Source organism: Homo sapiens, chromosome 1 (genome assembly GCF_000001405.40).
Source record: "Homo sapiens chromosome 1, GRCh38.p14 Primary Assembly".
Classification (NCBI taxonomy): domain Eukaryota; kingdom Metazoa; phylum Chordata; class Mammalia; order Primates; family Hominidae; genus Homo; species Homo sapiens.
Window position 1 is genome coordinate 160,379,023 of NC_000001.11, and position 25,879 is coordinate 160,404,901.

General features: G+C 44.4%; 1 protein-coding gene, 1 long non-coding RNA gene and 1 pseudogene across 6 annotated transcripts in view, besides 1 other annotated feature; 1 reads left to right on the forward strand and 2 right to left on the reverse strand.

Annotated features, from left to right (window-relative positions):
• Positions 1-25,879, reverse strand: part of LOC105371466 (uncharacterized) — a 30,841-nt gene that overhangs the window by 1,608 nt on the left and 3,354 nt on the right. Inside the window, exon 4 of one of the 2 annotated variants that reach the window (XR_007066685.1) lies at positions 24,882-25,370. The exons of the other annotated variant lie outside the window; for it this stretch is intronic. This is a non-coding gene — a long non-coding RNA (uncharacterized LOC105371466). Of the gene's footprint in view, positions 1-24,881; positions 25,371-25,879 lie in introns of those variants that run through there. 2 annotated transcript variants of the gene reach the window in all.
• Positions 13,545-13,594: an enhancer, noted in NCBI's record as "active region_1922". NCBI's record gives its function as "activates an Ori minimal core promoter by ATAC-STARR-seq in GM12878 lymphoblastoid cells {active_cell/tissue: GM12878}" and the evidence as "EXISTENCE:reporter gene assay evidence [ECO:0000049][PMID:35858748]".
• On the reverse strand, positions 13,746-13,887 carry RNU4-42P (RNA, U4 small nuclear 42, pseudogene; annotated as a pseudogene).
• Positions 21,542-25,879, forward strand: part of VANGL2 (VANGL planar cell polarity protein 2) — a 28,107-nt gene continuing 23,769 nt past the window's right edge. For 2 of the 4 annotated variants that reach the window (XM_005245357.2, XM_047426020.1), the window contains exon 1: positions 22,153-22,240. The gene's annotated coding sequence lies outside the window, so the exon portion shown is untranslated. Of the gene's footprint in view, positions 21,848-22,152; positions 22,308-25,879 lie in introns of those variants that run through there. The other 2 variants (NM_020335.3, XM_011509804.2) reach the window with 2 other exon arrangements.

Below are 25,879 nucleotides of genomic sequence, written 5' to 3' on the forward strand. Positions count from 1 at the left end.
GTCGTGATTCATTAAATGTGGCAGGCTAGAGGAGAACTCCCAGGTTTCTGGCCTGGGAGCCTGGGTGTACAGTGGTGCTACTTTCCAAAGTAGCACACGTAGGAAGAGGAACGTTGTGGAGAATTGTGGTGGAGATGGTGGCAGTAAGGTGGTGTAATAAGGACAAACTGAATGAAAGCCCCCCAGGAGCCTTCCCGTGGAGCTGCCCAGAAGGAAGTTGGCTTTCTGGGTTTGTAGCTGAAAAGTTGTACCTCTTTACTAGGATATCTCCCAGGAATGTCCAACGCCACATGTTGCAAACTGGCCACCTTATCTTCTCCCCTCTTCAACCCTCCTCCTCTCCTGGTATCCCCACGGCAAAACATGGTATCATCAACATTCAGTTGCCGTGACTATTGCTACATGTTTTTCCCTCTAGTCTCACCTCCAATCCATCATCAGTAGCTATTCATTTTACCTCCTAAACATGACTTCTGTTTTTCTACCAGTTCTACCAATGCTTTTCTTCACCTGGACTATTGCGGTGGCCTAGCTAGTCTCCCTGCCTTTCGGCTTCCTCCCCGTAGGTCCACCCTTCAGGCTGCCCTCAGACTTAGCTACCCAAAATGCAAACTGAACCAGGACACTTCTACACTATCCTTTTAATGATTCCCCATTATTTCCCCAGGATAAAACCCAAGTTCTTCAACATGGTATGAAAGTCCCTTCACAGTGCAGCTCCTGCCAGTTTGTCCAGCCCCATCGGCCATTCTGTCCTTTGTACTTTTTGCTCTAACAATTCGAAGGCACTCAAAGCTCTCTGGCACAGTCCATGTTACTCCTGACTGCCGTTCCTTTGCTCCCGTTGTTCCTCCTCCTGTACTTCACCTATACGAGTCCTATTCATCCTTCAAGACAATGCAGATGTCCTTGCCTTCAGAAAAGTACCCCAACTTGGTGTGTCTCTCCTATAGCCCCAGCTTGGCTCCTGGTGTGCTCCCTGGTCTTTCTATGCATATCTCTATCATTGCACTCACCACATTGAACTTTACTGAAATCATCTATCTGCTAGCACATGGATTTCAGTGTGACCTGGGGTGAGTTACTTCAAATCTCTGAACATGTTTTCTTTTTTTTGTTTGTTTGTTTCTTTGTTTGTTGTTTTGAGACAGAGTCTCCCTCTGTCACTCAGGCTGGAGTGCAGTGGCCCAATCTCAGCTTACTGCAACCTCTGCCTCCCAGGTTCAAGCAATTCTCGTGCCTCAGCCTCCCGAGTAGCTGGGATTACAGGCGTGCGACATCACGCCTGGCTAATTTTCATATTTTTAGTAGAGGTGGGGTTTCACTATGTTGGCCAGGCTGGTCTCAAATGCCTGACCTCAAGTAATTCACCCACCTTGGCCTCCCAAAGTGCTGGGATTACAGGCATGAGCCACCACACCCGGCCCTATCTTCACTTTTTAGACTTCTGCATAGGACATATGTATATAATTCATTGAGCTTTCCTCCTGCTGATGGCTTCAATCTTTCATTATTAACAATGCTGCAGTGCACATGATCTCATGCATATATTTGTGCATTTATATGAGCATTTTTTTTTTTTTTTTTTGAGACAGAGTCTCACTCTGTAACCCAGGCTGGAGTGCAGTGGCACAATCTCGGCTCAGTGCAACCTCTGCTTCCTGGGTTCAAGCCATTCTCCTGCCTCAGTCTTCCGAGTAGCTGGGATTACAGGCGCGTGCCACAACACCCAGCTAATTTTTGTATTTTTAGTAGAGGCGTTGGTTTCACCATGTTGGCTAGGCTGGTCTCGAACTCCTGACCTCAAGTGATCTGCTGGCCTCAGCCTCCCAAAGTGCTGGGTTTACAGGTGTGAGCCACCGCGCCCGGCCTATATGAGCATTTTGTGAAGGTAGATTTCTAGAAATAAAACTGCTGGATTAAAGAGAATGTACATTTTACATTTTGATAGATACTTCCAGTTCCCCTCCAGTAAGGCTTTATCAATCCACGCTATTTCCAACCACATGTAGGAGTCTACATTTCTCCTACCCTTTATAACAATGGATATCATCATTTTTTTTTTTGCCAGTATGATGGGCAAAAGGAAATATCAAATTTTTCTTTAATTAGAATTTTTCCTATTATTTGAAGTTGATGATAATTTCATGTACTTATTAGATATTTGTTTTTCTTCTGTGAATTTCCTGTTCATATCCTGGGCCTATTTAAAATTTATTTTAATTCTTTTTAAAATTAAAGCTATATATATATATTTAAATGCAATTTATTTTAGGTAAAATAAAAATGTGTTTATTCCCCCTTTTTTTTCAGAGATGGTATCTCACTCTGTTGTCCAGGCTGGAGTGCAGTGGTCCTATCCTAGCTCACTGCAGCCTCAAACTCCTGGGCTCAAGTGATCTTCCTGCTACAGCCTCCTGAGTAACCTCAGTGTTTTATTGGTTTTTTTTTTTTTTTTTTTTTTTTTTTTGTGGCACACTAGATAATTGGTTCATGTATCCCTTTTTGTTGCATCCTCTTTTCCCATCCCTAACCTTATTCTCCTTATTTTTATTTATTTATTTTATTTTAGATGGAGTCTTGCTCTGTCACCCAAGCTGGAGTGCAGTGGTGCCATCTCAGCTCACTGCAAGCTCTGCCTCCCAGATTCAAGTGATTCTCCTACCTCAGCCCACCAAGTAGCTGAGATTATAAGTGTGTGTCACCACACCTGGGTAATTTTTGTATTTTTAGTAGAGATGTGGTTTCACCATGTTGGCCAGGCTGGTCTTAAACCCCTGATCTCAAGTGATCCACCTACCTTGGCCTCCCAAAGTGCTGGGATTACAGGTATGAGGCACTGTGCCTAGCCACCTAATTCTCTTTATCACCCCCCATAGGCGTTGACTCATTTATTTAGTGTGTGTCTTTGAATCTACCTTTTATTCTTTTATTTTCTTTCTTTATGTATCCATGATCAATACATTAGATTATTTTGCATATTTTACATTTCAGAACAATATTGTAGTGTACATCTCACTCTGCTTCTTTTACTTTTCCTTCTTACCAAACATTTGTTATTAAATTCTATTCTGCTTTTATATGAGTTGGAATTTAAAACAATATATGGTGACTTAGTTCATTCTTTGTATCTACATTTACTATATGTACATTCCACAATATATTTATCATAGAAGATATTTTTCCTAATTGTTTGCTGCAATGAATAGCCTTGAGTATGTCATTTTACATGTCCTTTGCAGAATTATTTTTGTAATATACTCCTAGGTATTGGAACTAGATCGCAGGTTACACACATATTCAATTTTACTAGACACTTCTAAATCACCCTACAAAAGGTATCAATTTATATTCACACCAGCAGCTCACGATGCTCTTCATTTCCTACCACTTCACTAGTGGTTGATTTTTTTTTTTTTAATTGAGATGGAGTCTCGCTCTGTTCCCCAGACGGGAGTGCAATGGCATGATCTCTGCTCACTGCAACCTCCACCTCCTGGGTTCAAGCAATTCTCCTGCCTCAGCCTCCCAAGTAGCTGGGATTACAGGGGCCCACCACCATGCCCGGCTAATTTTTGTATTTTTAGTAGAGATGGGGTTTCACCATGTTGGTGAGGCTGGTCTGGAACTCCTGACCTCAGGTGGTCCACCTCCCTCAGCCTCCCAAAATGCTGGGATTGCAGGCATGAGCCACCACACCCAGCCACTAGCACTTGATATTATCCAAACTGTAAATCTTGCTGCTTAGGTAAAGTGATGTAAAGTGAGAGATATTCTTTTTCCACTTTCTGTTTGATTGTTTGGAATTTTAATTGATTCTAGGATCTCTAGAATTATTAAACTGAGGATCCATAGGTTTATAGACAGTAACACTTGCCATGCAGAAAATTTTTATTTAGTCAAATGTATAATCTTGTCTTCTATGACTTCTGTATTTTGGGCCTTGGCTTTCCCTGCTCCAAAATCATAAAAGAAAAAAAAATCCTTTGTTCTCTTTTCATACTTACATTATTAATTTTTTGTGGGTAGTATTTTACCTTTAACACTTTAATGTATCTGCATGTTATTAGATTAAGAAATGAGGTAGGAATCCAGCTTTACTTTTTCCAAATGGCTATCCAGTTGTTCCAACACCATTTATTGAACAATCCATCTTTTCTTTATTAAAAGAATAGTCTTATTCTCCCTTTGCAATACTTTTATATATTATTTTCTTTTTTCTTTCTTTAGTTTTGACAGTTATTTACGTAATCTGAATACAAGTTTTTAAAAAATCAAATACGTGATTTGCAATGTTTTCCTCTAGTCCGTGACTTGTCTTTTCACCTCTTAAAAGTGTCTTTTGAAAGTGGAAGTTCTTAATTTTTAGTGAAGTCCCACTTATCAATTTATTTCTTTTATGGATCATGCTCTTGGTGTAAGAAATCTTTGCCTCACCCAGGGTCACAAGGATTTCTCCCTGTTTTTGTCAGGAAGTTTTATAGTTTTAGGTTTTTTGTTTTTGTTTTTTTTTGAGACGGAGTCTCCCTCTGTCGCCCAGGCTGGAGTGCAGTGGCGCGATCTCGGCTCACTGCAAGCACCGCCTCCTGGGTTCACGCCATTCTCCTGCCTCAGCCTCCCGAGTAGCTGGGACTACAGGCGCTCGCCATCACGCCCGGCTAATTTTTTTGTGTTTTTAGTAGAGACGGAGTTTCACCGTGTTAACCAGGATAGTCTCGATCTCCTGACCTCGTGATCCGCCCGCCTCGGCCTCCCAAAGTGCTGGGATTACAGGCGTGAGCCACCGCGCCCAGCCTAGTTTTAGGTTTTATATGTAGTTTTATGATCAATTTTGAGTTAATTTTTGTGTATGATGGGAAGTATGGATTGAAGTTCTTTTTTAAAATTTGCACGTGGGTATTCAACTGTTCTTTATTGAAAAGACTATCCTTCCTCTACTGCATTGCTTTTGTACCTTTATGAAAAATCAATTGATCATATATATGTGGGTCTACTTATGAACTCCTCAATCTGTTCAATGGATCTATTTCTCTGTCTTGATGCCTGTACTATACTACTATACTGCCTTGATTACTGTAGCATTATCATAAATCTTGAACTTATGTAATATGTTTTTCAAATGTATTCTTTTTCAAAGCTGTTTTGGCTATTCTAGGTCTTTTGCATTTTCATATGATGTCAATTTTTATAGAAAAGGTGGCTGTGATTTTGTTTGGGTTGCATTGAATCTATAGACCAAACTTTTTTTTTTTTTTTGAGAAGGAGTCTCGCTCTGTTGCCCAGGCTGGAGTGCAGTGGCACGATCTTGGCTTGCTGCAAGCTCCACCTCCCAGGTTCCCGCCATTCTCTTGCCTCAGCCTTACCGAGTAGCTGGGACTACAGGCGCCCGCCACCACTCCTGGCTAATGTTTTTGTATTTTCAGTAGAGATGGGGTTTCACCATGTTAGCCGGGATGGTCTCGATCTCCTGACCTCCTGATCCGCCCACCTCAGCCTCCCAAAGTGCTGGGATTATAGGTGTGAGCCACCACGCCCGGCTGATCAACTTTTAGAGAAGTAAAATCTTAACAATATGAAATCTTCTAACCCATAAACAATGTATAGTATATTGCCCCATTTATTTAGACCTTCTTTAATTTATTATTTTATTTTATTTTTTATTATACTAGGGTACATGGGCATTATACTAGGGTACATGTGCACAACGTGCAGGTTTGTTACATAGGTATACATGTGCCATATTGGTTTGCTGCACCCATCAACTCGTCGTTTACATTAGGTATTTCTCCTAATGCTGTCCCTCCCCCAGCCCTCACCCCCCAACAAGCCCCTGTGTCCAAGTGTTCTCATTGTTCAATTCCCACCTATAAGTGAGAACATGTGGTGTTTGGTTTTCTGTCCTTGTGATAGTTTTCTGAGAATGGTGGTTTCCAGCTTCATCCATGTCCCTGCAAAGGACATGAACTCATCCTTTTTTATGGCTGCATAGTATTCCATGGTGTTTATGTGCCACATTTTCTATGTCTATCATTGATGGACATTTGGGTTGATTCCAAGTCATTGCTATTGTGAATAGTGCCACAATAAACATACATGTGCATGTGTCTTTATAGTAGCACGATTTATAATCCTTTCGGTATATACCCAGTAATGGGATGGCTGGGTCAAATGGTATTTCTAGTTCTAGATCCTTGAGGAATCACCACACTATCTTCCACAATGATTGAACTAATTTACACTTCCACCAACAGTGTAAAAGCGTTCCTATTTCTCCATATCCACTCTATCATCTGTTGATGGTATCTCATTGTGGTTTTGATTTGCATTTCTCTGATGACCAGTAATGATGAGCATTTTTTCATGTGTCTGTTGGCGGCATAAATGTCTTTTGAGAAATGTCTGTTCATATCCTTTGCCCACTTTTTGATGGGGTTCTTTGTTTTTTTCTTATAAATTTAATTTATTGTAGATTCTGGATATTAGCCTTTTGTCAGATGCGTAGATTGCAAAAATTTTCTCCCATTCACTCCTGTTCACTCTGATGGTACTTTCTTTTGCTGTGCAGGAGCTCTTTAGTTTAATTAGATCCCATTTGTCTATTTTGGCTTTTGTTGCCATTGCTTTTGATGTTTTAGTCATGAAGTCTTTGCCCATGCCTATGTCCTGAATGGTATTGCCTAGGTTTTCTTCTGGGGTTTTTATGGTTTTAGGTCTAACATTTAAGTCTTTAATCCACCTTGAATTAATTTTTGTATAAGGTGTAAGGAAGGGACCCAATTTCAGCATTCTACATATGGCTAGCCAGTTTTCCCAGCACCATTTACTAAATAGGGAATCCTTACCCCATTTCTTGTTTTTGTCAGGTTTGTTAAAGATCAGATGGCTGTAGATGTGTGGTGTTATTTCTGAGGCCTCTGTTCTGTTCCATTGGTCTAGATCTCTGTTTTGGTGCCAGTACCATGCTGTTTTGGTTACTGTAGCCTTGTAGTATAGTTTGAAGTCAGGTAGTATGATGCCTCCAGCTTCGTTCTTTTTGCTTAGGATTGCCTTGGCAATATGGGCTCTTTTTTGGTTCCATATGAACTTTAAAGTAGTTTTTTCCAATTCTGTGAAGAAAGTAATCTGTAGCTTGATGGGGATGGCATTGAATCTATAAATTACCTTGGGCAGTATGGCCATTTTCACGATATTGATTCTTCCTATCCATGAGCATGGAATGTTCTTCTATTTGTTTGTGTCCTCTTTTATTTCATTGAGCAGTGCTTTGTAGTTCTCCTTGAAGAGGTCCCTCACAACCCTTGTAAGTTGGATTCCTGGGTATTTTATTCTCTTTGAAGCAATTGTGAATGGGAGTTCACTCATGATTTGGCTCTCTTGTTTGTCTGTTATTGGTGTATAGGAATGCTTGTGATTTTTGCACATTGATTTTGTATCCTGAGACTTTGCTGAAGTTGCTTATCAGCCTAAGGAGATTTTGGGCTGAGACGATGGGGTTTTCTAAATATACAATCATGTCATCTGCAAACAGAGGCAATTTGACTTTCTCTTTCCCTAATTGAATACCTTTATTTCTTTCTCTTGCCTGATTGCCCGGGCCAGAACTTCCAACACTATGTTGAATAGGAGTGGTGAGAGAGGGCATCCTTGTCTTGTGCGGGTTTTCAAAGGGAATGCTTCAAGTTTTTGCCCATTCAGTATGATATTGGCTGTGGGTTTATTATAAATAGCTCTTATTATTTTGAGATATATTCCATCAATACCTAGTTTATTGAGAGCTTTTAGCATGAAGGGCTGTTGAATTTTGTTGAAGGCCTTTTCTGCATCTATTGAGATAATCATGTGATTTTTGTCATTGGTTCTGTTTATGTGATGGATTACATTTATTGACTTGCATATGTTGAACCCGCCTTTCATCCCAGGGATGAAGCCGACTTGATCGTGGTGGATAAGCTTTTTGATGTGCTGCTGGATTTGGTTTGCCAGTATTTTACTGAGTATTTTTGCATCCATGTTCATCAGGGATATTGGTCTAAAATTATCTTTTTTGGTTGTGTGTCTGCCAGGCTTTGGTATCAGGATAATGTTGGCCTCATAAAATGAGTTAGGGAGGATTCCCTCTTTTTCTATTGATTGGAATAGTTTCAGAAGGAATGGTACCAGTTCCTCTTTGTATCTCTGGTAGAATTTGGCTGTGAATCCATCTGGTCCTGGACTTTTTTGTTGGTAGGCTATTAATTATTGCCTCAATTTCAGAGCCTGTTATTGGCCTATTCAGATATTCAACTTCTTCCTGGTTTAGTCTTGGGAGGGTGTATGTGTCCAGGAATGTATCCATTTCTTCTAGATTTTCTAGTTTATTTGCATGGAAGTGTTTATAGTATTCTCTGATGGTAGTTTGTATTTCTGTGGGATCAGTGGTCATATCCCCTTTATCATTTTTTATTGCATCTATTTGATTCTTCTCTCTTTTCTTCTTTATTAGTCTTGCTAGTGGTCCATGTCTTTTGTTGATCTATTAAAAAAACCAGCTCCTGGATTCATTTATTTTTTGAAGGGTTTTTTGTGTCTCTATCTCCTTCAGTTCTGCTCTGATCTTAGTTATTTCTTGCCTTCTGCTAGCTTTTGAATTTGTTTGCTCTTGCTTCTCTAGTTCTTTTAATTGTGATGTTAGGGTGTCGATTTTAGATCTTTCCTGCTTTCTCTTGTGGGCATTTAGTGCTATAAATTTCCCTCTACACACTGCTTTACATGTGTCCCAGAGATTCTGTTACATTGTGTCTTTGTTCTCATTGGTTTCAAAGAACATCTTTATTTCTGCCTTCATTTCATTATTTACCCAGTAGTCATTCAGGAGCAGGTTGTTCAGTTTCCATGTCATTGTGTGGTTTTGAGTGAGTTTCTTAATCCTGAGTTCTAATTTGATTGCACTGTGGTCTGAGAGACAGGTTGTTGTGATTTCTGTTCTTTTACATTTGTTGAGGAGTGCTTTACTTCCAATTATGTGGTCAATTTTAGAATAAGTGCGATGTGGTGCTGAAAAAAATGTACATTCTTTTGATTTGGGGTGGAGAGTTCTGTAGATGTGTATTAGGTCCACTTGGTGCAGAGCTGAGTTCAAGTCCTGGATATCCTTGTTAACCTTCTGTCTGGTTGATCTGTCTAATATTGACAGTGGGGTGTTAAATTCTCCCACTATTATTGTGTTGGAGTTTAAGTCTCATTGTAGGTCTTTAAGGACTTGCTTTATGAATCTGGGTGCTCCTGTATTGGTGCATATATATTTAGGATAGTTAGCTCTTCTTGTTGAATTGATTCTTTACCATTATGTAATGGCCTTCTTTGTCTCTTTTGATCTTTGTTGGTTTAAAGTTTGTTTTATCAAAGACGAGGATTGCAACCCCTGTTTTTTTTTTTCTTTCCATTTGCTTGGTGAATCTTCCTCCATCCCTTTATTTTGAGCCTATGTGTGTCTCTGCACATGAGATGGGTTTCCTGAATACAGCACATTGATGGGTCTTGACTCTTTATCCAATTTGACAGTCTGTGTCTTTTAATTCGGGTATTTAGCCCATTTACATTTAAGGTTAATATTGTTATGTGTGAATTTGATCCTGTCATTATGATGTTAGCTGGTTATTTTGCCTGTTAATTGATGCAGTTTCTTCATAGCGTTGATGGTCTTTACAATTTGGCATGTTTTTGTAGTGGCTGGTACTGGTTGTTCCTTTCCATGTTTAGTGCTTCGTTCAGGAGCCCTTGTGGTGACAGAATCTCTCAGCATTTGCTTGTCCGTAGAGGATTTTTTTTTTTTTTTGAGACGGAGTCTCGCTCTGTTGCCCAGGCTGGAATGCAGTGGCATGATCTGGGCTCACTGCAAGCTCTGCCTCCTGGGTTCACGCCATTCTCCTGCCTCAGCCTCCCGAGTAGCTGGGACTACAGGTGCCCACCACCATGCCTGGTTAATTTTTTGTATTTTTAGTAGAGACGGGGTTTCACCGTGTTAGCTGGGATAGTCTTGATCTCCTGACCTCGTGATCCGCCCGCCTCAGCCTCCAAAAGTGCTGAGATTACAGGCGTGAGCCACCGCACCTGGCCCTGTAAAAGATTTTATTTCTCCTTCACTTATGAAGCTTAGTTTGGCTGGATATGAAATTCTGGGTTGAAAATTCTTTTCTTTAAGGATGTTGAATATTGGCCCGCACTGTCTTCTGGTTTGTATGGTTTCTGCCAAAAGATCTGCTGTAGTCCGATGCGCTTCCCTTAGTGGGTAACCTGAACTTTCTCTCTGGCTGCCCTTAACATTTTTTCCTTTATTTTCAACCTTTGTGAATATGACAATTACGTGTCTTGGTGTTGCTCTTCTTGAGGAGTATCTTCGTGGTGTTCTCTGTATTTCCTGAATTTGGATGTTGGCCTGCCTTGCTAGGTTGGGGAAGTTCTCCTGGATAATATCCTGAAGAGTGTTTTCCACCTTGGTTCCACTCTCCCCGTCACTTTCAGGTATAGCAATCAAACTTAGATTTGGTTTTTCACATAGTCCCATATTTCTTGGAGGGTTTGGTCATTTCTTTTTACTCTTTTTTCTCTAACTTTGTCTTCTCGCTTTATTTCATTAATTTGATCTTCAATCACTGATACCCTTTTTTCCACTTGATCAAATTGGCTACTGAAGCTTGTGCATGCGTCACAAAGTTCTCGTGCCATTGTTTTCAGCTCCATCAGGTCATTTAAGGTCTTCTCTACACAGTTTATTCTAGTTAGCCATTCGCCTAACCTTTTTTCAAGGTTTTTAGCTTCCTTGCAATGGGTTAGAACATGCTCCCTTAGCTCGGAGAAGTTTGTTATTACTGACCTTCTGAAGCCTACTTCTGTCAACTCGTCAAAGTCATTTTCCATCCAGCTTTGTTCCATTGCTGGTGAGGAGCTGTGATCCTTTGGAGGAGAAGAGGCACTCTAGTTTTTAGAATTTTCAGCTTTTCTGCTCTGATTTCTCCCCATCTTTGTGGTTTTATCTACCTTTGGTCTTTGATGTTGGTGACCGACAAATGGGGTTTTGGTGTGGATGTTCTTTTTGTTGATGTTGATGCCATTCCTTTCTGTTTGTTAGTTTTCCTTCTAACATTCAGGTTCCTCAGCTGCAGGTCTGTTGGAGTTTGCTGGAGATCCACTCTAGACCCTGTTTGCCTAGGTATCACCAGCGGAGGCTGCAGAACAGCAAATATTGCTGCCTGATCCTTCCTCTGGAAGCTTCGTCCCAGAGGGGCACCTGCCTGTATAAGGTGTCTGTCGGCCCCAACTGGGAGGTGTCTCCCAGTTAGGCTACACAGGGGTCAGGGACCCACTTGAGGAGCCAGTCTGTCTGTTCTTGGAGCTCAAATGCTGTGCTGGGAGAACCACTACTCTCTTCAGAGCTGTCAGACAGGGACATCTAAGTCTGCAGAAGTTTCTGCTGCCTTTTGTTCAGGTATGCCCTGCCTACAGAGGTGAGGTCTGTAGAGGCAGTAGGCCTTGCTGAGCTGTGTTGGGCTCTGCCCAGTTCAAGCTTCCAGGCCACTTTGTTTACCTACTGAAGCCTCAGCAATGGCAGACACCCCTCCCTCCTCCAGGCTGCTGCCTTGCAGGTCAATCTCAGACTGCTGCGCTAGCAGTGAGCAAGGTTCTGTGGGCATGGGACTCGCTGAGCCAGGCACAGCCGAGAATTTTCTGGTCTGCCGGTTGCTAAGACCTTGGAAAAGTGCAGTATTTGGGCAGGAGTGTCCCATTTTTCCAGGTACAGTCTGTCACAGCTTCCCTTGGCAAGGAAAGGGAAATCCCCAAACCCCTTGCACTCCCAGGTGAGGCGATGCCCCTCCTTGCTTTGGCTTGCCCTCCGTGCGTGGCACCCACTGTACAACCAGTCCCAATGAGATGAACCAGGTACCTCAGTTGGAAATGCAGAAATCAGCCATCTTCTTCATCGATCACCCTGGGAGCTGCAGACTGGAGCTCTTCCTATTTGGCCATCTTGGAATGGACTCCAACCTTCTTTAATTTTTTTGAGCAATATTTTATAGTTTTCAGTGCATAGGACTTGCACATCTTTGGCTGGATTTATCTCTCAGTATTTTACACTTTTTGGTGTCACTGTAAATGGTGTTTTAAATTTAATCTTTTGAGTGTTCATTGCTAGTGTTATGGATTGAATTGACCCCTCCTTCCAAGAGATACATTGAAGTCCTAACCCCTGGTACCTGTGACTGTGACTTTGTTTGGAAATAGAGGTCTTTGCAGATGCAATTCATTAAGATGAGGTAATGGAGTGAGATGGGCCCTTAATCCAATATGGTTGGTGTCTTTTAAGAAGAGGGAAATTTGGACATAGACACACAGGGTGGGAAGATGACGCAGAGATCCAGAGAGAGAATCCAGCCAAATGACAATGGAGGCAGAGAAAGGAGTGATTAATTTACAAACCAAGGAATGCCCTGGACTGTCAGAAAACACCAGGAGCTAGAAGAAGCAAGGAAGGACTCTCTCCTAGATCCTTCAGAGAAAGCATGGCCCTGCCAACACCTTGATGTCAGATTTCTATCCCCCATCACCTTGGTAATGAGTGTTTATCATTTTTAAGTTCTGGTATCATTTCAAGTCCTCTCCTCTAGTTACTTTGAAATATACATAAAATTGTTGCTAAGTATAGTCACCCAAGTCTGCTATCAAACATTAGAACTTATTTCTTCTATCTAACTATATGTTTGTATACATAATCAACCTGTCTTCATCCTTTCCTTCCCCTCCACCCTTTCCAGTCTCTGGTATTTTATTTGGAGATTTTCTAGATATCTTTCTATTATTGGTATTTACTTTAATACCATTGCAGCCAGGGAATATATTTTATATAATCTGATTCTTTTAAAATTGATCACTACTTATTTTATGGCTATCTTGGTAAATGTTCCATGTGCAATGTTCTTGAAAAAAATTCTGCTGTTGGATGGAATGTTCTATAATCAATTAGTCAAATTAGTTGATACTGTCGGTCAAATCTTTTACATCTTTACTGATTTTCTATTTGTTCTATCAACTATTAAGGTATGGGTATGGATATTACTGATTATCCTTGTGGATTTGTCAATTTATCCTTGTAGTTCTATTGGTTTTTGCTTCATGATATATATATACACACACACACACACACACACACACACACACACACATATATACACACAAACATATATACATACACAGAGAGAGAGAGAGAGAGAGATAAAGAGAGAGTCTTACTCTGTCACCCAGGCTGGAGTGCAGTGGCGCAATCATGGCTTACTGCAGCTTTCACCTCCCCAGGCTCAGGTGATCCTCCCAGGTAGCTGGGACTACAGGTGTGAGCCACCATGCCCAGCTAATTTTTTGTATTTGTATTTTTATTTTTTTCTGAAACTGAGTCTCACTCTGTTGCCCAAGCTGGAGTGCAGTGGCATGATCTCAGCTCACCACAACCTCCACCTCCTGGGTTCAAGCGATTCTCATGCCTCAGCCTCCACCTCCTGAGTAGCTGCAACTGCAGGTACATGCCACTACGCCTGTCTAATTTTTGTATTTTTAGTAGAGACAGGGTTTCACCATGTTGCCCAGGCTGGTCTTGCACTGCTGGGCTCACGTGATCCACCCACCTTGGCCTCCCAAAAGTGCTGAGATTATAGGTGTGAGCCACTATGACTAGCCCAGCTGTTTTTTTGTTTTTTTTTGTTTTTTTTCAAATTCAGTCTTTGTATAGACTGTCAAAAATTGTCAGTGCTGACTATGTTGCAAGTCATCACAGTGGGGTATTGGGAAAATTTTTCAATTAGCAATAGTCATGCCTCAGATAAACCTCATTGGCTATGATACTTGCCATTGTGCAAAGCTGCTTCACGTACTTTGAATCTCTGTTATTGGGTACATAAGTGTTTAGAGTTATTATGTCTTCTTGATGAATTGACCTCTTTATCATTATGAAATGATTCTTTTTTATCCCGGGCAATATTCTTTGCTCTGAAATCTACATTATTAGTATTAGTATAGCGATTCCAACTTTATTTTGATTAGCATTAGCATGGTACATTTTTTCTATCCCTTTAGCTTTAACCTATTTTTGTCTATATTTAAAAGGATTTCTTTTAGGCAGTATACAGTTAGATATTGCTTTTATAATCTAATCTGACAAATTATGCTTTTTAATTGGAGTATGTATGTATGTATGTATGTATGTATTTTGAGACTGAGTCTCACTCCGTCACCCAGGCTGGAGTGCAGTGGTATGATCTTGGCTTACTGCAACCTCCGCCTCCTGGGTTCAAGTGAGTCTCCTGCCTCAGCATCCCAAGTAGCTGGGATTACAGGTGCACCCCACCACGCCTGACTAATTTTTGTATTTTTAGTAGAGAGAGGGTTTCACCATGTTGGCCAGGCTGATCTTGAACTCCTGACCTCAACTGATCTGCCCTCCTTGGCCTCCTAGAGTGCTGGGATTACAGGCATGAGCCACTACGCCTGGCCTTTAATTGGAGTATTTAGACCATTTATATTTAATGTGATTACTGATATAGCCTGGTTTAACTTTTGGTCTTGTTATTTGTTATCTATCTGTACCATCTATCCTTTGTTTCTTCTTGCCTCTTTTTCTCAGGAACATAAATAACTGAAATTCAAAATAGTGAATATGGCCGAGCATGGTGGTTCATACCTGTAATACTAATACTTGGGGAGGCCAAGGCAGGTGGATCAGTTGAGGTCAGGAGTTGGAGGCCAGCCTGGGCAACATGGCGAAACCCTGTCTCTCCAAAAAATACAAAAGTTAGCTGGGCATGGTGGCAGGTCCCAACTACTCGGGAGACTGAGGTGGGATGATCAGCTGAGCCTGGGGAGGTTGAGGCTGCAGTGAGCCAAGATCATGCCACTGCCCTCCAGCCTGGGCAACACCGCAAGACCCTGTCTCAAAAAAAAAAAAAAAAAAAAAGACAAAATAGTGAATATGGTGGGAGAGATTCAGAGAAAGATTTGGGACTTTATAGAAGAGAGATATTAAGTCAAATCGATGATGTCAGGAATGACTTACTCAAGAAAATATTCAAATTGAACCTTGAAATATTTTGCATATGAGTGATGGTGTAAGGAAGGTGCTCCATATAGAGGCAATAGGATGAACAATGGGATTGGAGGCAGTAAAGCATGTGTTTGGGCTAGGGAATAATAGATTGTTCAGATAGCCTGAGAAAGAGTGGCAGGAGAGATGTGGAAAGTGCTTATGTTATTAACAGCTTCCTATGGATGTCCCTACCGTGATAGTCCACAGATACCTGAGATACCTGTCAAATCCCACATATGATCTACCCTTTAAACCTGCTCTCTCAATAGCCCCTAATTTTATGTATGGCATGACCAGCTTCTTTAATATACATACCAGAAGCCTCTGAGTCATTTTAAATGCCTCTTTGTTCCTCAACCCTATTCATCCCACCTGCAGGTCATCTCTTCCAAATTTCAGCTTTTTTTTTTTTTTTTTTTTGAGATGGAGTTTCGCTCTTGTTGCCCAGGCTGGAGTGCAATGGCATGATCTTGGCTCACTGCAACCTCTGCCTCCCAGGTTCAAGCAATTCTCCTGCCTCAGCCTCCCAAGTAGCTAGGATTATAGGCATGTACCACCATGCCCAGCTAATTTCGTATTTTTAGTAAAGACGGAGTTTCACCATGTTGGCCAGGTGGTCTCGAACACCTGACCTCGTGATCACCCGCCTCAGCCTCCCAAAGTATTGGGATTACAGGCCTGAGCCACGGTGCCCGGCAATGAGCTTTCTTTTCTATCCTTATCTATCCCCACAGCCTTGGAGCCAGGCTCAACTCCCCTCCACCACCCTGCCCCCAAACTATTTAATTAGCCTTCTTACTGGTTTTGCTACTTCTAGATTTTTCTCTCTTTAAACCAATGCCACACATACCCCCCAGCATGCCCTGAGAATGGATGTGAATTCTGTGTGTGTACATGTGTACATTGTTCTGGTGAGCGCTTGTAGCTTTCATCAAAGTCTCAAAAGTCCACAAAAGGCTAGGAGTCACTACCATGATCTTTATTTCAGATGAAACCGTGCTCAGTAAATGTGGTGCAGTTGACAGACTGCTGAACAGTAAGTCAGGAGACCCGGGTTTTAGTTCTGGGGCTGCCACTAATTAGCCGTATGACTTTGGGCAATGAGGCACTTACTTTGTACCTGTTTCCTCATCTGTAAAATTCAGAAAGTCTCTTCCAACCTCAAAATGCTATTATTGAGAAATTACCATACAATTATTATTAAGAAATTGCCATACAATGTCATAAATGCTAAAACAAAGGTATGCAGAGCTTTGAGAGCACAAAGGAGGTTCTCCGGGTGTGGGGTCATCTAGCTTTGCTTGGGAAAATTGGTAAAGAGTTGCAGAGGAGGCCACAGTTCAGTCTTGAAGGATCAACAAAACTTTCCAGGCAGAAAGAAGGAGGAAGGCATTTTAGGCAAAGGAAACTTTGTGAGAAGGCAGAGAAGTAATAGAGCCTCAAATTGGCAGAACAATGAGTAGATGCGTATAGTTTGGATGTACGTGTGTTGAAAGTTTGGGCTTTAAATGCACAGGGAGCACTAGGAGATAAGCCTGGAGAAGGCGAATGAGTTGGGGCCTGAAGTTTCTTATGTATGGTGCCAAAAAGTTTTGACTTTATCTTGTAGACAGTGGGAAGCCATGGATTGTTTTAGGTAAGAGAGTGACAGGCTGATTTCCCTTTCATAAAAATCACATTGGCAACATGGGAGGAAGACGGATTGGAAGGGAATGAGACATGTTTGGAAATGATAAAGGTCTGAATAAGCCAAGGGGATAGAGGTGGAAGGAAGATAATGTTGTTCCTTTTAAACCTATTACATTTAAGATACCCAAGGAATATCCAAGTTAAAATGTATGGTAGGAAGTTGAAAATTTGAGTCTTATGCTCACAAGATAGACCTGGATTTAGCAGCACTCATAAGTGAGTACTGACTGAAGCCACAGGAGTGAATGACATTGCTTTGGAAAAGCATGTGGAGTGGGGAGTAAGGGGGCCAAAGGCTGAATTCTGGGAAATAATAGTATTTGAAGTCAGGAGTAGAAAACACATTGGAAGGATGGCTGGGGTGCAAGGAGCTGAGGAGTGAAGGGAGGAAGAGAGATAGTAAAGAATCTATCCATTTTTTTTTTTTTTTTTTTTTTTTGAGATGGAGTTTCACTCTTGTTGCCCAGGCTGGCGTGCAATGGCACGAACTCGGCTCACCGCAACCTCCTCCTCCTGGGTTCAAGCGATTCTCCTGCCTCAGCCTCCCGAGTAGCTGGGATTACAAGCACCTGCCACCATGACCGGCTAATTTTGTATTTTCAGTAGAGACGGGGTTTCTCCATGTTGGTCAGGCTGGTCTCTAATTCTCGACCTCAGGTGATCCACCCGCCTCAGCCTCCCAAAGTGCTGGGATTACAGGTGTGAGCCACCAGGCCTGGCCTAAGAATCTACTCTTTTAAGAAGGTTGGATGAGAAAGAAATAAAAGCGAAGGCTAAAGCAAGAGGAGGCTGCTGAGTGGAGGAAGGTATTTCATTTTATTATGTCTGCTGGGCAAAGATCAGTGAAGAGGCCGAAGTTGGTTACAGGAGAGATTGTGAATAATGGATGGAGGTGGGAAAGGACAGGATATAACGCACACCTGCAGGGCCTAGTCCCAGCCAAGGGAGCTGGAGAGTGTCTATTCTTCCCAAGAAGGAGGAAGGAAATCAGAAAGTTTCATTCAGTGGTTCTCACATTAAAATCACTGAGGTATCTTAAAAAAAATGCCAATAGCTGGGTCACACCTCAGAAGTTTCTGGTTTAATTAGTCTGGGATGGTCCTGGGCATTGATGTGTTTTCAAAGCTTCCCAGGTGATTAAAATCTGCAGTCAAAGTTCACAACCACTGGTTTAATTGCAGGTAACATTTTAGATTAATGATAATGGGATTGGATTTGAGGAAACTCACACTTAATAAAGGTTGGATGAATAGGGAGTGGTCAAGGTTTCATAGATGAGGAAGGGAGAAAGAGAAGGAAGCTAGAAGGGAAGGCAGCTAATGCTAACTTATTGAATTTTATGTGCCAGAGATATAGAAATGAATGAGGCATGGTCCTTCTTCTTAGAGATCAGGATCTCACATGACAGACACTTCACCACAAGCCTATGACATAATACAGTTCTTGACCAGTTAAGTTTTTTTGTGTGTGAGCTACTTTTATTCTTTTTTTTTTTTTTTTTTAACTAAAAGTGAAGGGGGAAACCCCTCACACCCAGAACCCAGGTATTTCCCAATATAGACTGGGTCTGGAAATCCTTTTGTGAGCATTGAGAGTAGCCTTTCTGGGAAGGTGGGTGCTGGGGAAAGATCTGTAACTATTCCGGGAGATCAACTTGTACCCAGGCTCATCAGCAGGGCTGGAAGTAGATGGTGATTGTGGCCCTGCATGTGGGTACATTACTGCAGTCACCTGTACCTGGGAGGTGGCTAAAATTGCTAATTGCTTACATGGAAACACTTTGATGGCCATTCTGCTATAGTGTGAAGCTTCTATGAGTAAGGTACCAAGGATTCCCTTTCTCTGAGCAGCATTGTAAAAAGGCCCTACTTTTCATCAGAGCAGAAAACCTAACTTTTGCTACTGTGGTCTGGGCCTGACCTCCAGGGACAGCTTCATCCACACAGGAAGTAGGTAGGTGCTTCTCTATAGTCTGGACCTTCCCTCAGAGAGAGTCTACTGTCACTTCTTGAGTTCCTTGAATCTTCCCCAGGAGGGTCCAACTCCCAGGGCTCCTGGGAAGCCTCTGATCTGACCCCACCAGCCCCACCTCCACCTAGTGAGCTGGTGAGGTGTTGAAAGGGCTTTAATGGAGGGCCCTGGCTTTTAGCTAGGGGCCTCCTTCCCCGAGGAAGAGTACTGAAAGAAGTGTCCTAGAGAAGTGTTCTCTCCTAAGAGAAGTATCCTAGGCACAGAACAGAGAGGGGAAACTCGACTGGGAATTGACTGTGGCACTATGAGTATATGGAGGGTGTTCCTTCTGTTACCTCATTAGACCCTTTTTATATAAGCAGAAATTGAGGCTTGAAGAAATTAAGAAATTCGACTATGTCCTCAAGGACAGGAGCTGTACAAAATCCAATCTGTTCCATTCTATTGTCCCTCAGGCTCTTGGCCTCCCTCTGTTATTGTAGGTTGGCCCCTTTAGGAAAATCTCAGTTGAATGTCATTTCAGTGCTCTCCTTCCTTCTAAAGAATTAAGCTAGGTCCCTTAGACCATAGGGCACATGGGCCTTCTAGCTGGGTCTCTGTTTGCTTACTCAGTGACTTGGGGACGTGTGAAATCCAGATGGGATTCTATCCTGAGGTGAAGGTAGAAGGTAATACAGAGAATTGCTGAATGGGACAGACCACACCAATAAAATTTTTTGTTGGACTCTGTAATCCAGTGTTTTCATTGCAGAGATGTAATTGAAAGCCCCCAACCTCACCGTCAGAGAAAGGAGGGACTAAGCTTATTCTAGCCTGATGCCTGATACCTGTTAATTGGGAAGCCTTGTCTGTTAACATCCTGACTTAGGTTTCAAGCTTTCAGTGGGGCCAGACTATGGAATTATCTGTAATTCTGGCATCAGAAGCCCTTTTTCCAGTTCTTTGGGCCATTTTGGGGTCTGTGAAACAGGCTAGCAGCATGTGAAGATAATTCACACTAAATCTGCCTGAGAGTCAAGACAGTGCCACGGCAGCCCCGACTCTGTGTCAAATTACACACTAGCTGCCTAGCACTGGGGTGTGCTTTGGGGCAGGGCTGGGGACACCCATGTCCTCCCTACTTCCCTTAACCCTTCCCCAGCTCTCCTGCCACTCCCTCATACACCTGGTCGTGGTCACTGCCAGGAGCCCCAGTGCGGCCCAGTGCCTGCACATGATAGGCACAAGGTGAATGAGTGCCTGGACGCATGCAGGGACTTGGGTACCTGAAATGATGATTCTGCATATTTCATGTAGTCTTGATGCTGAGTCACCTGCTTACCCATACTACTGGAGGAGGGGATGAGGAAAGACAGAGTTTGGGCAAAGGAGAAAGGAAGTGTGTTTTACTGTTCTGCATCTTTGAACAATGCAGCATAGTTGGTTCTGTCCTCATCTTTGGACAGGTTAGAATGAACCATCAAAAGGGGTGAGATTAGGTCTCAGGAAATAGTTTTCATCAGGGAGGAGCAAAAATTCCCAAACAAGTGAGGAACAGAGGCTGGGAGTCTCTTTCTCTGGGATTCCTTAATCACAGGGTTGTTCAAGCAGGTGCCAGGATTGGAAACTGAAGGAGGCTGAGATATTGAAAAGGCCTTGGCCTGCTTAGGGAGAAGTATGTGAAGATGCTTTTGAAATGATACTACTCTAAGTGGCGGGTTGCACGGCAATAACATTAATGATAATTGAATACTGCTTTCACTTACTCCAAGGGGAACATGGACTTCCCACAGCCCAGGCTTTTACGGTGTGGGTTCACTCTTGTAGGGTCACATGTAAAAGAACCCTAACTGGTTTCTTGGCATACTGGGAGGCACAAATGCCCCAAACGTGTAGGATATTTTGTGAGATCCTACAATCCCTGTGTGGCACCTTCAACTCTAAAGTATCTGAAACTCCTGGGATGGACAATCTGCCTGCTTGGGGTTGGGGACCCAACTGGCCAAGGCATTTTTCCTCTTGGAGGTTTCCTGGGAGAAGGCCCCCTCTCCTCTGCCATTCAAACTCCCAGGCGCCCGCGTCTTTTCCTCCTCCCCTTCTTCCCTAAGGCAGGGTTCCCTTTGTAATTAATCCCAACACTCAAACCAGAGGGGAGGAAAAATGTGTTAATGAGGGAGCGTCCCAGACTGACTGGGGCGGTCGCTGCTCGCAGCTAGAACTCCAAGTAATTAAATTATTTTTGGAAGGAGGGGATATGGTGGTGATGGTGTCAGGGAAATCCCCGTATGCATGGGAAGAGGCGTGCGCCTCTCGCCACTAATTAAAATCAGGGATGACCCTCCCTTCTCGGACCCCTAGGGGGAAAAAAAAAATCAATCTTCCCACGTCCCAGATTCCATTGGATTTTGTGTAGTCGGGTCCGTGGCCCTAAAGAGAATATGGCCAGCCCCAGGGATCTGGGGGCTCCTTCTCCGACAGGAGGGGTCCAGGAAGACAGCCCCAGGAGGGACTGCGGGCTGGGCCAAGTCCAAGAATCGAGGCATTCCCCTGCCCACCGTTCGGGACCCGAGTGTCAGCCCCACCGCGGATTCCCAGGATCGGGGAGGGCCGCTGGGCATCTGAAGGCGCAGGGCTGGGGGAGCGGCGACTCCGGGAAGAGCGGGGCCGCAGACAATGGACGCGGCGGTAGGAGGGGCGGCGGCTGTGGGAACAGCCGGGAGGCGGCACCCGGGAGCTCGCGCTCCCCCGCCCCCTGCACCCCCCACCCTCATCCCCTCCCCCTCCGCCCCCTCCCCCCTGCGCCGCCGGCTCCCGATCTGATTCCTGATCCTTGATTCCTTGATCCTTGGTCCCGCCATGGGAGCCTGAGCGCCCCCTATTCCCCCCTGGCCCCCAGCCCCCGGGGCCTTGAGGGGGAAGAGGCAGCGGTCTGGGACGGAGCAGGGGGTGACCAGACTCAAGAACCCCCCCCTCAACATCCCCCATCGCGCGCGCTGCCTGTCCAGGAGCGCCGAGTTCGGAGCGACCCGGAGCGCTGCGGATACAAAGGCGACGGGCCGAGCGGGGCGCCCGCGGAGCCCACCCGGCAGTTCGCAGCGGCGGGTGAGTGCCGGGCCGCGGGGGCGCGGGCAAAGTTTGAAAAAAAAAGAAGAAAGAAAGAGAGAGAAAAAAAGAAATGGAAAAGGAGGAAAATCATGCAAGGGGCCAGGGGGTGCCCGACCCCAGAGCGAGCGGGGTGGCTTATGGGGGAAGGGGGGCTGGACTCCGGGCAACCCCCTTCCGGTCCGCTTCCCCACTGCACAGCGGAGTACCCCCCCCAACTTTGGGGAGGGGAAGGGGCTCGTGGGGAGGGGGCGGAGCCCAGGCCTGGAGAGCCGGGGACTTTCCTGGGCCCGGGCGGGGGCCTTAATGATCCCAGGGGAGCCGGTTGAAGCCGGAGACGGGGAGCTTGTGTTGGAGGTGGGGGGAGAGGCGTGGAAGGATCGGAGTCTGGAGGTATTGGAAGCCAAGGGTGTTTTGGGGTGCATACACCCCTCAGGAGCGTGGGGAGGGACGGAGGCAGGTATGCGTTAAGGGTGTAGAGTGGAGTCAGGGGGGCGGGTTGGGCAGAGTAGATAGGGTGTATGTACAGACCGAGGATGGGGCTGGAGGCGGTAGACTGTGTATAGGGGCCGAGGGGACAGGCGCTGGCATCCCTCTCCCCACTCATATTTACCCATCTGGGGGACTGTGGGCTCTGCGTTAGTGAGTTTTGAAGGGTTGGTGGAGGATCCGTGTGCATGATTCTTTGTTTTGGTGTGTGTGCACGCCTTGACGTGCTGCATGTTCCTGCAGGTGGGCCCCTGGTTTGGATGTGTAGGTGTTTTTCTGTGCTTGAGTGTGTGTGCACCCAGGGAGCGGCTGACCATGCATCTGCTGTGTGTTTGGATATGTGTTTATATGTATACTTAGGGGAGGGCGTGTATGTCTATGTGTGTGTACTGGGAGAGGGGTTCACGGGAAAGAGGTGTGTAGGTACTGAGGAAGGTGGGTGTGTAAGAGCAGAATGGAGTGTATGTGGATAGGTGTGTGTGCACCTGTGTACTGGGAAGGGGTGTGAATCTGTGTTCTCTTGTGTGTAACCTGTGTTGATGGGTATCAATGTGTGTGCCTGCCTTAGCTGGTATGTATGTTTCTGAGTGTGTGTCGGGGGTACCTCTAGACTCTGCAGGCAGATTTTCCTGGCAAAAATCCCGAAAAGAAGGCTGTCTGCAGGATTTTGAGACTTCGTGGATGGCCTCGCCTGGGTTTAGGGGTAGTACCTTAAGTATCTGAGACCTATGGGTGGGAGGGAATGAGTTGTCTTATGAAGTGCCTGTTTTTGGGGGATGGGTTTTTCTGGAAGAGGGCGTGTGTTGTGGGGAATAGGGAACAAGGGGTCTGGTTGTAGTCCTAGAGGAATTTGGAAGATTGGCGGGGTCAGGGAGAAGAATAAGAGGAACTTCCTCCCCCATCGTCATAGGCTGGGTTCCAGCGCTTGGAGAAGCTACACTCTTGGATTCCCAGCCTTAGGTAAAAGCTTCAGGCCACAGTTCTCTTGGAAAGCCGTCTCAGAGTTTGCTGCTTCATAGCCTTCTAACTCTGCCCTGACTCTAAGATCCTAAAGTTCCTGAGGAGTCTTGAGATTTTGGTGTGGGATGGAAACAAGAGGAGGAAGCATGTCTGGAGGGTTGAGACCTGGTGGGGAACAGCTTGGGTTCCCTGCCCATGGGGTTGAGAAGGTGGCATAGGGTGTTTCTTCAGCAGCTTTTGCAAGTGAGTCTGTGTGGTTTATCAGACCAAAAAGTTTCCCTTTTCCCTGGTGTCAAGCATGATTGAGATGGAGCTGTGGGTGTGGGGCCAGGGCTGAGTGTCTGTGTGTCGGGAAAGGGCCAGGTACCCATTGCAGGCTATACTGCTATACTCATCATCATGATAGTGTGGTGGGAAGTCAGTGACTATCCAGGAAGTGAATGTCTCTTTCCACCAAGAAGCCACAGCTCCCTTCTCTCCCTGTCCTCTCTCATCCTTTCTCTTTTGGGGTATAGGAAAGGGGTTGCTCACCTCCTTCTTTAGGATACTAGCCTTCCCCCATTGCACACTCTTTTTGCTGCCAGTGGCTGGGTTGAGGCACCCAGTTTTAAGAGCTGAGGTGAGATTGTACATACCCATTATGGTCTCTGGGCAATTGCAATTGGAATGTTAGAGTCTCTAATGGGCATGTGCAATTGGAATGTTCCCTCTTTAGTCCTCAGGGCTCCCTACCCTCCCTAAGGCCTGGAGATAAGAGTAGTAGGGGTTAGAAAATGTTTGAACGAGGAACGGGGAACGGGGCAGAGTAGGAAAAGACCTTTAAAAGACCTTTTTTTTTTTTTAATGGATCATTCCCCCAAACCCAACACCTGTCTGATAGTTAGGGCTCCCAGGGCTAGTAAGGCACTTGCATCTAAGATGGTGTGCCCTGGCCCTCTGGGGTCCCTTGTTTGCTCTGTATACGCTGATCACATGCATGATATATTATGCTGGTGGGGGCTCTCTTCCAAAGAGGAGGAATTGTGGTCAGATAATAGGAAATGCCATTTCTGAAAGTACTTCCAGATTGGGAGTCAGTGGCCACGTTGGCCCCTCCTCACCCATTGTCTTGCTCCTGACTTCTATTTCCTCTAATTCTTCCGGGGCAGGCCTCTCTGGTGTGTTTGCCTCTCCTCCTGATCCTTTTAGATCTGAGGAAATATCCCCCCTTCCCTGGCCCTAGAGCAGGACAGTTTTTTATCTGCTCATCTGGTTTCCAGGTCCTTCCAGTTAATGGGGAGGGAACTTGACTAACAGAAGCTTTGGCAGGGAAAAGGAAGAGATCTGATCCCCTCTGAGTTTTAGGGAACTCCAGTCTTCTCCTTCCCTCAAGTGTTCATCACATTGTGAGGCCAGAGAAAGGAGTCAGAGTTGGTTGGAATTAGTACTTAACAGTGGTGTGATCTGGGCAAGTAATAAACCCCATTCCCCAGCCTCTTAGGTGTCTTAAGGCACATCCTCCAAGCCTAGACTGAGCCCTTCCACAAGGAATCCCTGGTCCCCCACCAAGTGGCTTTCTTCCCTGGTTTGCTTTTAAATTCTGGCTTTGCCACTGTCTAATTCCGTGACATCAGACAAAACTGGTAACTTTTTGAAGCCTCACCTGTAAAATGGAATTAATAATAGGCCCTACTTCTTGGGGTTATGAGGATTAAATGAAATAATAGAGAAAGCACGTTGCACAGTTCCTGGCACATAGTAAATGTTAGCTGGATGGTTCGGATTCTGAGGGATAATCATCATTAAGGGAGAGAGGTCGGAGTCGGGATAGGAGAACTAGGCTTTGGTTCTGATCTTCCTTTGGCCGACCACATTAGGCACTCTCTCCTATCTGCCAGGCACAGTGTGAAGCACAGGGGATGGAGGGGCAAATAAGATGTTTTCCCAGGGGAGACATGTGAAAACATGTTGATTCACTGCAGCCCAGTGAGTGCTGTGTGGAGGTGTGTTCAGGAGGCCACTGGAGCATAGAGGAAGAGTGCTTGGCCCTGGGGTGAGGTGCCAGGGAAGGTTCCTGCAGGAGATGCCCTGTTAGCTGGATTTTAAAAAAATTAAGGTGAAATTCACATAATAGGAAATAAACCATTTTAAAGTGAACAGTGGCATTTAGTACATTCACAGTGCTGTGCAACAACCACCTCTGTCTAGTCCCCAAACATTTGCACCATCCCGAAACAAAACCCATACCCATTACACAATTGTCGCCATTTCCCCTTACCCCAGCCCCTGGCAACCACCAATTTGCATCCTGTCTCTATGGATGTACCTATTCTGGATATTTCATACAAATGGAATGATAGAATGCATGACCTTTTGAATCTGGCTTCCTTCGCTTAACATAATGTTTTCCAGGTTAATCCACACGGTAGCATGTAGCATGTATTAGTACTTCATTCCCTTTTATAGCTGAATATTATTCCCTTGTGTGGACAGACTTTACCTGGTTAAAGGATGAGTTAGGCCAACAGGAAGGGTCTTAGGATGGCACTCCTGGTGGAGGCTGAGCGTGAGCAAGAAGGCACACAGGGTATTTGGTAGTCCTGT